Here is a 12,666-nt window from a genome sequence, read left to right as displayed (position 1 = left end):
GAAGCAGAGCTACCTATCCGCCCTGGGCCACTTGCCCACCTATGAGGTGATAGAAAAACAAACTTCCATCTAATTTAAGCCACTGTGTTTCTGAATCTCTTTGTTATATCATTTTAGCCTATGCCTTACTAATATACTTCCTAAAGTTAAATGAGCAAGTTATGTAGTTACGTAGTTAACTATGAGGTGTGTGTATGTACATACCATTGTTTTCATGCCTAATATATCTGATTCTAAACACTTAAAACTTCACTCTCTAGTTCCAAGTGAAACACAGGTAAAATAAAATGTGAGCAATAAATGGCATAAAGACAGGTTTTCTGCTTAAACAATTTGGAGTTTAAAAGGTCAACTGTGTAACTGTAGGACCTATCCTTTTCGTATGCCAATTCTTCAGCCTTCCCAGCAGTTCTGGGAACTATTATGATTCAATAACTTCCTATTTCTGTTTAAATCATCCAGTCAACTTCAGTTGCTTAAAACTAAGAACTTTGATGGATGCAGCATACAGATAGCCTTCAGAGGGTTCATGAACTCCTTGAACCCTATATGAAATATTTCACACACACACACACACACACACACACAGTGTTTTCTGGGGAGAGGTTACATAGCTTATGTCACATTCTCAATGGAGTCCATGATAAGATGTGGGCATATATGTGAGAGGGGAGACAATGCAATATTATCCTTTCCAGATACAAGTTCATTATAAACTTCTTCTGCTATCCCTGGAAACACATTTTTTTTTTCATTAGAGGAATTTAATTTAAAACTGAACCAGAATTAATAGACTAGATCAAATAATAAGATGCAGAGACAACATAAAGAAGGTCAAGAAAAAGGAGAATGCCCATGAGGAGTGGTGATATTATGCAGATAACCTCTTGTTGGGAGGGGAGGAGGACCTATGCCTTCAGGATGAGTTGAAGAGTAGCAAATCAACTGACCAAAAAATAAGAGTTTGGGCTATCTGCAGTGGAAAGACAGAGAGGCAAGCAACCAGTAAGATGGGGTAGAAGACTGTGGATAAGGAGTTATGGGGCCAGGTGTGGTGGCTCATGCTTGTAATCCTAGCACTTTGGGAGGCCGAGGTGGACAGATCACTTGAGCTCAGGAGTTTGAGACCAGCCTGGCCAACGCGGTGAAACCCCATCTCTACTAAAAATACAGAAAAATTAGCTAGGCATGGTGGTACGTGCTTGTAATCCCAGCTACTCTGGGGGCTGAGGCAGGAGAATCGCTTGAACCCAGGAGGCAAAGACTGCAGTGACCCAAGATCCCGCCACTGCATTCCAGTCTAGCCTGGGTGACAGAGTGAGACTTTGTCTCACTAAAAAAAAAAAAAAAAGAGTTATGGGTGAGTCAAGAGATTATACTTGTAATGTAGCCAAGCTTGGCATTCTCAAGAACTAAGAGAAGAGAATTAACTGAAGAAAGAAGGTGAAACTAGTTAGAATGAATAATTAGCTATATGCTACAGCTGAACTCTGTGATTAGTCACAAGTATATAGGCAATATATTAATAGTACAGTGTTTGTTAAGAGCATGAAATCTACAACTTAATTTGAGTTCAAAAATGCAACCATTTCCAAGTGATCAAGGTCACTACCAACAGTGGTAAGACAGATTAATGGTGTGTATCTTTGATATGATGTGAAAAAAATGGCACTTTATCTCTGTGATATTCCTCCCCAAAGCCCATAACCTCAGTCTAATTATGGGAAAACAAATCTCAACTGAGTAAGGCATTCTACAAAACACCTGATTAGTACTCCCAAAACTGCCAAGGTCATCAAAAGCAAGTAAAATCTAGGAAACTGTCACAGCCAAGAGGAGGCTAAGGAGACATAATGATTTAATGTAATGCGATATCTTGGATAGGATCCTCGAACAGAAAAAGGGCATTAGGTAAGAAACTAAAGAAATGTGAATAAAGTATGGACTTTAGTTAATAATAATGTATCACCACTGGTTCATTACTATAACCCATGCACCATATTAATGTGAGATATAAATAACAGGGGAACCTGGGTATGGGGTATATAGGAACTTAGTGTATCATCTTTGTAATTTTCCTGTAAATGTAAAATGGTTCTAAAAAAATAAAGTTTCTTTTTAAAAAATGCAGCTATTTTACTTACTAACCTTGAGCAAGTTAGCTTTTCTGTGTCTCACTTGACTCATCTATAAAATTAGAATTAGGTTGATAATAGCAGCAACCTAACTCAAGAATTTGTTGTGAAGACTAAATGAGTTAATATAGTAAAGTGCTTAGAACAGTGCCTCACAGTTAGGAAGCACTGCTTAGTATCAGCAATGATTATTTTTTAACACAGATGCTCCTTAACTTATGATGGTGTTGTGTCTGGATAAACCCATCAAAAATAGAAAATGCGCTTTCAACTTAGGATATTTTTTCAACATATTGTGGGTTTATTGGGACATACCCCATTGTAAGTTGAGGAATGTACTGAATGCATGTTGCTTTTCCATCATCGTAAAGTTGAAAAATTTTATGTCAGGAGGCATCTGTACTTGTAAAGTGCAGTAAAATTGTATGCAAAAGGAGTAAAAAACAGCCTGATATTAAACTCTAACTTTATAAATGAAATTTGAAATAAAATTCCTCCAATTGAAAATATGTCAAAAATTACATAATTTCAAGGTCAGTAAATCAAGGGAAGTATAAATCATGTTTATACTATGGTTACATGGTGGGCCGCCATATAGATTTTGCTAGCCCTGGTATGAATTCCTCCTCAATTAAGGACTTAGGATCCTATTGCTCACATAAAAGGTGACAGCTCTGTTACTTAAGGTCTAAAATTCCTCATGTTATAAGAAGACTAAGTTTGTATTTTAATAGCAAAGTAATGACTTAGATGACTGTCATGGAGAAAAGGTAGCTAGGCTACAGAGGCAAAGTCAAAGTTAAAAGACAAGAAACTTTTAAATCACTTAGGTGGATGGCAGTAGAAATTACCAGAAGTCTAAGACTCAGACAGACATTTTTCCTTGTTAGAATACAATTGATAAAACATGACCAACATACGCTGTCCCTTAATTCCTGCTTTAAACTGTCCAGATCCACCATGGTTAATGAGATTCTGAGTATGTAAGACCACTTAGCTGTCTTCCCCTTTTTCTAATAACTCAAAATTTCAGTTTAAGTTCTGAAATCCATGTAAATATTATGACGGTTAAAACGAGTAATTAGTATATCATATGCATTTCTTCATTATGTCTAACATTTTAAGATATCAATCTGTAGTATGCTCAGAATGTTTACTATATATTTACTATATATTATTTGCAAAATATTATATAAGAAAAAGAATTGTTCCAAAGTTATATTTAAAAAATTGATGAGGCCAGGTGTGGTGGCTCACGCCTGTAATCCCAGCACTTTGGGAGGCGGACGTGGGCGGATCACTTGAGGTCAGGAGTTCAAGACCAGCCTGGCCAACATGGTGAAACAGCATCTCTACTAAAAATACAAAAATTAGCCGGGAGTGGTGGCACATGTCTGTAGTCCCAGATACTTGGGAGGCTGAGGCAGGAGAATGGCTTGAACGGGAGGCAGAGGTTGCAGTAAGCCGAGATCACGCCACTGCACTCCAGCCTGGGTAACAGAGCGAGACTCTGTCTCAAAAAAAAAAAAAAAAAATTGATGAATGTCAGTGTGACATTAACAGTGACAGGCTTTGATTTGTTTACAGTAGGTGAACAACTACTTAGAGAAGTCTGACTGCTCACTTAATCAAAAAGCTGAGGGCAAATAAATGTATCTTTATGACAAAGGTCAAAGACTCAGCCAGGGTGTTGAAGGAAGATGTAAAAATTAGATCTATTTAATCTAGAAAAAAATAGAGAAAAAGAATATACACACAAAGGACTTTTCTAAAATCTTGAATGTTTTTTTCTTATTTGCAATAAGAAGATTGAAATTTCAAACCATCCAAAATATTAAATTCCTTTGACATATTTCCCCTCATATCTAAAAATCAAAAACATTTTCTCACAGTACATTTTATTTTTGAAATTTTATTTTTGGAATAGTTTGGTCACTGAAGATGTAAACTGTCCACACCCGTCTTACTTTGATGAGTCTTCTTGAGTAGCATTTTTTAAACAACTTCATTTATTTTAGATTTTTAAAAATGCCATTTTATTTTTATATCTCCTATAAATGAAAAACGTCAATTTAAAATTCTTGAAGAATGCACATAGCAATCTCTCAGTCAAAAAAGGATAATCTTTTTATTTCATAATGAATAGCCCACCAAGATATTTCTGTATGCATACTAAAGAATAGCTTAATTTTATTTCAGTAATCATTAGCCATGCAAACTACCTTTGTTGTAAGGAATTATAGCAACCAATGTGTGTATAATTTTTCCAAGATTACACATGTATAAAAATTTTATATTCACATTATAATTTCTCCAGTAGTAGATAACATGTTAAGAGTTTTATATGTGAATTTACTTATGTTGGTAAATGAATGTTTTATTTTTTCTAATTTTGTTAAAATATTCTTGATATATTGATTTTCAAATGAAACATTTACTCTTTGGTTCTCCACAAAAATGATGAATCTTTTACTATATAAATTGTTCTCTTTATGGCAACAAGTCTCCAAAGAAAATACAAACAATGAACCACATTAGCTCAATTGATCTCCAAATTAAATTAGTGGCTTCTATTCCCTTAAGATAATGCCAAGTCATGAACTAATTAAAAAAAATTTAAATTAAATACACTATTTACCTACATACAGATATTCCCCTCTCTCCATTACACAGAAGATGACAGATGACTAGAGTAAACATTTTTTATCCTTCCAAGTCCACATTCTTAAGGTTAGAAGAGGAAAAGGTGGTAAATATCCTCAAGTAAGAGACACTTAAATATATAAATTCATTTTGTCTCAATCCATATGACACCTACATCATTAATAACCAACTTACAAATTACAAGTGTTATCAAAAGCTGCACAGAAATTTTAAGAGAAAAATATAATAATCAAATTAGACAAATGATAAGCTATTTGTGCCTTTAAATATTTAGAAATATTTTCGAATGAAGATTAATCAGAAAGATGACTTTCATGCTCTAAGTTGTTATATAATCTTATTGTAGTTTAAACTGATGAATAAGAAAATCCATTTCAAAGATAAAGGCAGATTCCAAGATAAAGGTAGATAAAGTCACTATGAAATTACCTATTTTTTTCCTTATTTTCTTTCTTCTAACTGATTTCCCCTTCTTCCTGTCCCCTTTTCACCAGATAATCACATCTAGCCCCTCTACATTCCCTTAAACTCTCCTGGAGGAATGTCCTTCATTTCCCTAAATAGCACACATTTCAGTGAAAGTGAAGGTAACAGGAATTAGTAGCTGTCATCTTAGAGACATGTTACTTAGTATTCTCTATATTAGTCTGGAGAGCTGTAACACAGACAGGACAAAGAGAAATAACCATAAGAAAAATATTATTGACAACTACAATTGTGTCAAAAAATTGGTGACTATAATGTGCATCTCTTTGCAAAACCTTTCCTTTTCATTAAATTAAAAAATGACTCTATCATCTGTTATAAACTAAAATGTCACATAAAATTTCATACTATAGAAATATCTTCTATAGTTTTGATATGAATATAGAAGGTTAATGAATGAAGCAAACCACAGGCAATGATACATGAAATTGCTACTATATATTATTTTCAAAGCTGAGCCAGATCTATATATAGAACACAAGATATTTCAAAATGAATGCTATTTGTTGTCTTTGTAATTTTACAGACTATTAGAACATTAAAAAAACCCTAGCAGAAGTATCACATGTTCATACCAAGATATTATATATATGTATGCAGATGTACATATATAATCAGATTTTAAATAATAAATACTAAATTATTTAAAAACATTATAGAGCCATACCCCCACACCCCTTTTCTAACAGTAAGAAAATAATCAACCTGCATGAACTGGAATCAGATTCATTTTCTTCTTCACTAGTGCCATCATCCACTTCTGGTCTATCCAGCCAATGTGCACCGCCACAATCTTCTGCTGTAAACTCAAATGCAGGGACTTCAGAGGTGGATGCCATTGGCCAAGAAGGTGAATTCTGAAAATCCAGTTGGCTGGACCTTCGGTAACCAATTGAAGCCAAAGGCAATTGTAGGCTACATGGATCTAAAAACTTTCTCCCACCGTTTGCTCCAGTCTGTCCTCGGTTCCAAAATTCTCCCTGCTGGCTGTCAACTGTAGAATTAGGAGATGATGCTTGATGACCAAACCACCTCCATCTGATTTTCAAAATCTGTTTCACATCAAACTCTTTACGAGAACCAGACATCCTCAGAGAAACCAAGTGATCGTCTAGGCAACGGGCAAAAAGCACTGCACACAGATTTGTGCATCCAACCAAGACAAGAGAAGTATATGCCCTGCTGTACACAACAAAAATATGTAAAGGAAAATAAATCACATTCATATATATATCTACAATTACTTTTATGCCAATATATCAGATTTTAAAGAACAAAGGATAATGAATAAAGATGAAACACGGTGGAACATTCCGTTCAATCAGAGCAAACTCTCATCCACCTATCCTGAAGCAGCTAGACCACTTTCCCGGCTCTCCTTTCCCATACTGACCATTAGGTCTCACAAACACTGACAGCATTCATTAAAGTCCTTTCAAATGCAGAACACCACCCCCTTTTTCTTAAACCACAAATGACAGAGACAGAAAACACTATCCCCGTTGCAGTATCTCAGTCTCTGCTGCTTAGTATATTAACTCTTTCATTGCTGAAACAATAAATGTATTCTATAGCATTTCCCTTTGTACTTAAAAATAATCACTTTAAAACTAAAATGTTTCTATTTCTAAACTAAGTCCCTAAGTGAAATACCACAAAACAAGTTTTTAAAAAAGCATTTGTAAAATTAGATGAGTTATGGTGATTTTCCAGGTGTGCTCTTTGGATGGGGAATGAGGAGGAAAGCGGAGTACAAAGGTGGGGCTCCAGACTATTGCCTTCACCTCTATCTTCTCCCTTCAGAAAACAAATGGATCTAATTAATACAGTAAGATCCTGGGTAAGATTTCACTTGGATAAAGAATAATGAGGAGAATAAAAAGTTTGAAAACTACAAAGGATCAAAATGTAACAAATACTCTTTTTCAAATAAACTGAGGCCAGGATTTCTCTATAAGTAGAAATGGGCCACTGCCAGTTAGTGTAACATCCAAATTTCTATGACATTACTTAGGAAAAGGAAAAGTGCGGCTCAAAAAAGCTACCAGGGACTGGGATAGGACTATTGGGTGTACAAGTGCCCTAATGGTGCCCTCTGTTGTTAGCAAAACAAACAATGGTTTGAACATGGTTACAGTTAAGGCAAATTGATAAAGCAAATACAAATAAACTCAAAAATACTGAGTAGTTATTGTGAACAATGCAATCTACTAGGCATTGTCAGGGACACAGAGATATATATATCTTGGTTCCTAACCCCCAAAATAATTAAATCTAGCTATTGAACCAAATACAAAATATTTGATAAGGTAAAATAAGAAACATTAAAATGCTGCAATATTAAAGTGTGATCTATCAATGCAGAATTTGAGTTTTCAGGGTGCTCAGTATTTACTCCTTTATCAACTAATTCCATACAAAAGGCAATGCCTATCTAAGCTGACCAAAAAACAAAAACAAAAACTACTTTGGAGGCTTACAAAAATATTGTGAGGTGTCTATCTTAATACAAATTATTCAGAGAAACAAGAATGAGAAGCATAAAAAGCCAAGTATGATTTCATGCTAAATAATACGGGAAAAACCATACAAACTGTAAGAAAGAAAGGAGATATCAGGATGGCAATGGAGTGGTATGGGCCAGTTTCATTAGGGAGAAGGCTGCTAAGAATAGTAAAACATTGTTTAGGTAGAATGATAGATTTCTACAGAAAAAGATTCTAATAAAAGCATGAAGTGGGCATATCTACAAGGAAGAAGTGGGAAATAATCAGTTTGATCAGCCAGCCATACCAAATTAATTTTAAGGTGTAGTAAGAGATAAAGTTAGATGAATACGATGAGATAAAATGCCTTGAGCAAGCAGCAAAGACATTATTGAATGGACTGTTGAACAGGACAATGTTTTAGGAAATTAACTTGGCAGTACTGTGCAGGACGCATTAGAGAGTGAAATGACACTTTCCCCTCTCCTCTCACCTTTGTCAGACTCCTTCTGATCAACATCCTTCTAACTTCACTCTAGCTATCCAACTTTATTTCTAACCATTTTCCAACATAGACACACCACTTCATTGGTCAAGGCAGTCTACATTATGGTGTTCCCTCTTTTATAACACTGTTTGCCTCCCAGAGAAACTCTGGTTTAAAAAACACACTTCATCCTTCAAGATTTAGCTCAGGCACTATCATCTTTGTAAACACTTCAGTTACTCTAAGTAGCTGGTTCTCAACAAGGGAAGCATCAACCTGCTCCTAAAGGCTTCTGGAAAATAGGTGGTGGTGGTGGTGGTGGTGGTAGATTTTTAGTTGTTGGAATGACCAGAGTGCTATAGGCATTGAGTGTGCAGGGGCCAGAGACAGCAAACATCTGGCAATGAAAAATGATACCTTTATTTTGCCAATCCTCCTCCACTCATTCCCATGGTAATCATTGCTGACGCCAAGCTTGGTACATATAGCCTTTCACACCTCTCTCCATGTTTATAAATCATGGACAAACTTATATACACATATATAAGAGATTTGCTATTGTTATACAAGAGATCATATTGTATTCATCTTTTAGCATTTTGCTCTTCTCACCTAATTTTATATATACATGGAAATATAAATTAATAATCTTTTTAAGAGTTACATGATATTTCATTACTGTAAAAAAACCAATTTATTAAACTATCTCCCTGCTAATGGGCATTCAGGTTGATTTCAGGTTTTTGGGTTTTTGCCATTAAAATAATGTTGAAAGAAACATCCTTGTGAGGCTTTTATATCTACAGAATTTATTGCCAGGAGTGGACTTGCTGGGTTGAAGGTATGTGCATTTTATTTTGTTTTATTTTAAGACAGAATCTAACTCTGTCACCCAGGCAAGAGTACAGTGGTGTGATCTTGGCTCACTACAGGCTCCATCTCCTGGGTTCACGCAATTCTTATGCCTCAGCCTCCTGAGTAGTTGGGACTACAGGCACACACCACCATGTCCAGCTAATTTTTTATGTTTTTACTAGAGACAGGGTTTCTGGAGTGCAGTGGCGTGATCCCGGCTCACTGCAACCTCCGTCTCCCAGGTTCAAGCAATTCTCCTGCCTGAGCCTCCTGAGTAGCTGGGATTACATGCGTGCACCACCAAGCCTGGCTAATTTTTGTTTTTTTTAGTAGAGATGGGGTTTCACCATATTGGCCAGGCTAGTCTCAAACTCCTGATCTCAAGTGAGCGGCCCACCTCGGCCTCCCAAAATGCTGAGATTACAGGCGTGAGCCACCGTGCTTGGCCATATTCTCTTTTTAATTTTGGTCATTCTGACAGGTGTGTAATGGTATCCCATTTGGTTTTCCTTTACATTTTCTTCATTATTAATGTGGCTGAATAACTCTTCATGTTTATTGGTTATTTGGATATCCTCCATGAAGTGGCTATTTAGGCCCCTTTTTTTTTCTATTAAGTTATCAGTCTTTATCTTCTTGATCTGTAGTTCTTATATTTCTGATATTTTCTTTATAAAAATATGAAGTAAGCTTAAACATTAATGCCTTTATGGCATGAAATTCAGCATTCACTTAAATAACACTTTTTTTTCTGTTCCGACAACTTTCACCAACAATATAAAATTGTTTTGCCCCAAAATTTGTCCAGCTCTGATGCCAAGTATTTCCCAGGAAAATTATTTATAAACGATCAATACGTATTAAAAATCATTACATTATTAAATTATCAAAATGGTCTTCACTGACTACTCTCTGTAAATTAGACTCATCATTCACAAGCCCGCTGACCCTCCTAATTTTTTTCATAGCAGTTACCACCACTTGGCATATTAGATGTTTATTTGCTTATTGTCTTTATCCTCACTACAAAGTAAGCTTAAGTGGGGCTTTGTTTTGGTTATCACTGTAATCCCAGCACTTAGAATAGTACCTAGGAGACAGTAGGTGCTCAATAAATATTTCTCTAATGAATACATAAATTATTCAACAATTATAAGAGCTATAATAAAATCCAACAATTATAAGAGCAATAATAAAAGTATATACTTATACTATTTTTTAAATTATAAAATAAAGAATCTAATTTTAAAATTACAGACACATTTACCTTGGTGACAAAATATATATATATTTTTTGAGACAGGGTATCACTCTGTCACACAGGCTAGAGTGCAGTAGCTCGATCTCAGCTCACTGCATCCACAACCTCCCGAGCTCAGGGGGTCCTTCCATCTCAGCCTCCCAGGTAACTGGGACTACAGGCACGCACCATCACATCTGGCTAATTTTTGTAGAGCCAGGGTTTTGCCATGTTGCCCAGGCTGGTCTCGAATTCCTGAGCTCAAGTGATCCACCCGCCATGGCCCCCTAAAGTCCAAGGATTACAGCCACGCTGCCTGGCTGACAAAATCGTACGGTATTTTTTCAACTTAGGAGAAAAATCACAATGTTATTCTAAGAATTTCTTTTTTCTATTCATTCTTAAGGCATAAAATTCTATCACTTGAAATCCAATGGCTAAACAGATGTCTTTTCAAATGGACACACTTTCTTCAAACTAATTACAAAATTATATTCTATACCTCTAATTTTATAACCTTGCTTTATTTCAGGTTAAACTTGAGATACAAAAGCTCACGTATTATTTAAAATAGATAATATGTGTCAATTATGAATACATTTTTCAAAATGTAATTAAAGGACCCATGTGCAACTTCTGTTTCAAAACCGCTCAAATCTTGTCTGTGAATTTAAAAGATGACACTATTCAGTATTACAATAGAAACACTGAAATGTCATTAAGATAGACTGAAGGTGAGCTCACTTCAACAGTGTGGCTTTTAAAGCTATGTCTTCACTCAACTTAAATCATGGCTATTTGGTAACTAGTTTATATTAGTAATCATAATTACATCAATCTCTCTTCACATAGAGTTTTTTAGATAACAGTATTTATGGCTCATCAATTTTAATAAATCTATTTCTAAAGTTTTAAGTGTGTGATATGCACTGCATTAAAAAAATCAAGAATTTTACCATACTAACCCAGCAGCTCTCACCTCTCTGTTTTTCCTCAGTTATAAAAAGAGTAAGTTGCATTGCATGATTTTGAAGCACCCTCCAAAGTTTAATAATTCAGGGATACTTTTTAAACTTTGTCAAATTAGGTCTATCAGAATTTGATTTAAAATATTTGAATATTAGTATAATTCTACCAACATGTAAATTCCCTAACACTTAAAAATGTATGATGGTGGAAAATTTCAGTTATTTACCCTAAAAGATTTGAGATCTATTTTTACTAACCTTGACTTTAATTCTAGAAATATACCAGATATTCTGTACTGCTTCTCCATTCTCATAAAAAGCAAACATTAAAAATGTAAAAAATATCCTGTATTTCTGTAAATGCAACAAATCTTTTGTTCTGTAAGCAGAACAGAATGCAAAGATAAGGAAATAGACCACAAAAATCAATTAGGACAGGGACCACTATATCCCTAACAACCTGTACAGTGCATGGTATTTAAATAATTTCTGACTTTAAATTTTAAAAAATGAATAAATTAATGGCACAGCTCTTGACTTGAAAGATTTTAAAATCCAGCAACAGAGGGTCTTGAATGAAACTCTTACTGAATTAAGAAGAGGTAAGTATGTCCTTTATTTGGTTGAAGTTGAGGTTTTTGAGGTGAGGATTTACAGATAATATCTTAAGATTAATTTGGCAATGGTGAAAAATGGATTTACAAGGGAAGATACCTCATAAGGAAACAAATTAGAAAACTCTACCATGTGAGAGGCACAGCTCAAACTTGACTGGAAGCAACAAGATCTGAAAGGGCGGTTGAAGTTGAAGATTTTACAGAGACCTTATAGGATGGCTGTGGCAAATGGAGAGGAAAAAGTCAAAGATGACAGCATTTTCAAATTTGAGTGACTGGAAGAAGAACACTAAAATTAACATAAGTAAGGAGGTAAGGATATTGTTTCAGGAGGATTGAGTGAGGCTTTAGACATGTTTGGTTTTAATTATATATCAAGCAATCAAACAGCTAGGATAGGACTCTAGAGCCAAAAATTAATCTATTTAAGAAACCGGAAATTTAAAGTGTGAACAAGTGAGCCCTGGGTTAACACTGGTTATCTTTGGTTATGTTTGTATTCTATTCACTCGATACCACAAACACATGGCACCAAAATTTCTTCTGTAATTAAAAAAACTTATAGTTTGAAATTCAAAACTAAGATTTCTAGCACCATGTTAAATCTTTCACTTTGTTAAAAACAACTGGGAAATACTTCTAATTTAATTGGTAAATGAAAATTTTAAAATGTCAAATTTAAATTCAGGCCGGGTGCAGTGGCTCATGCCTATAATCCCAGCACCCCT

The 12,666-nt window shown here is 35.0% G+C and overlaps 1 protein-coding gene across 22 annotated transcripts in view; it reads right to left on the bottom strand.

Moving 5' to 3' along the window:
• KLHL5 (kelch like family member 5) overlaps positions 1–12,666 on the bottom strand; it is a 98,275-nt gene that overhangs the window by 74,076 nt on the left and 11,533 nt on the right. For 8 of the 22 annotated variants that reach the window (XM_047415749.1, XM_047415750.1, XM_017008276.2 and 5 more), the window contains 1 exon segment: positions 5,991–6,467. In XM_047415749.1, coding sequence (XP_047271705.1) covers positions 5,991–6,467 — 477 coding nt within the window. 22 annotated transcript variants of the gene reach the window in all.

Source organism: Homo sapiens, chromosome 4 (assembly GCF_000001405.40).
Source record: "Homo sapiens chromosome 4, GRCh38.p14 Primary Assembly".
Lineage (NCBI taxonomy): Eukaryota > Metazoa > Chordata > Mammalia > Primates > Hominidae > Homo > Homo sapiens.
This window is presented reverse-complemented; position numbering and strand designations above follow the sequence as displayed.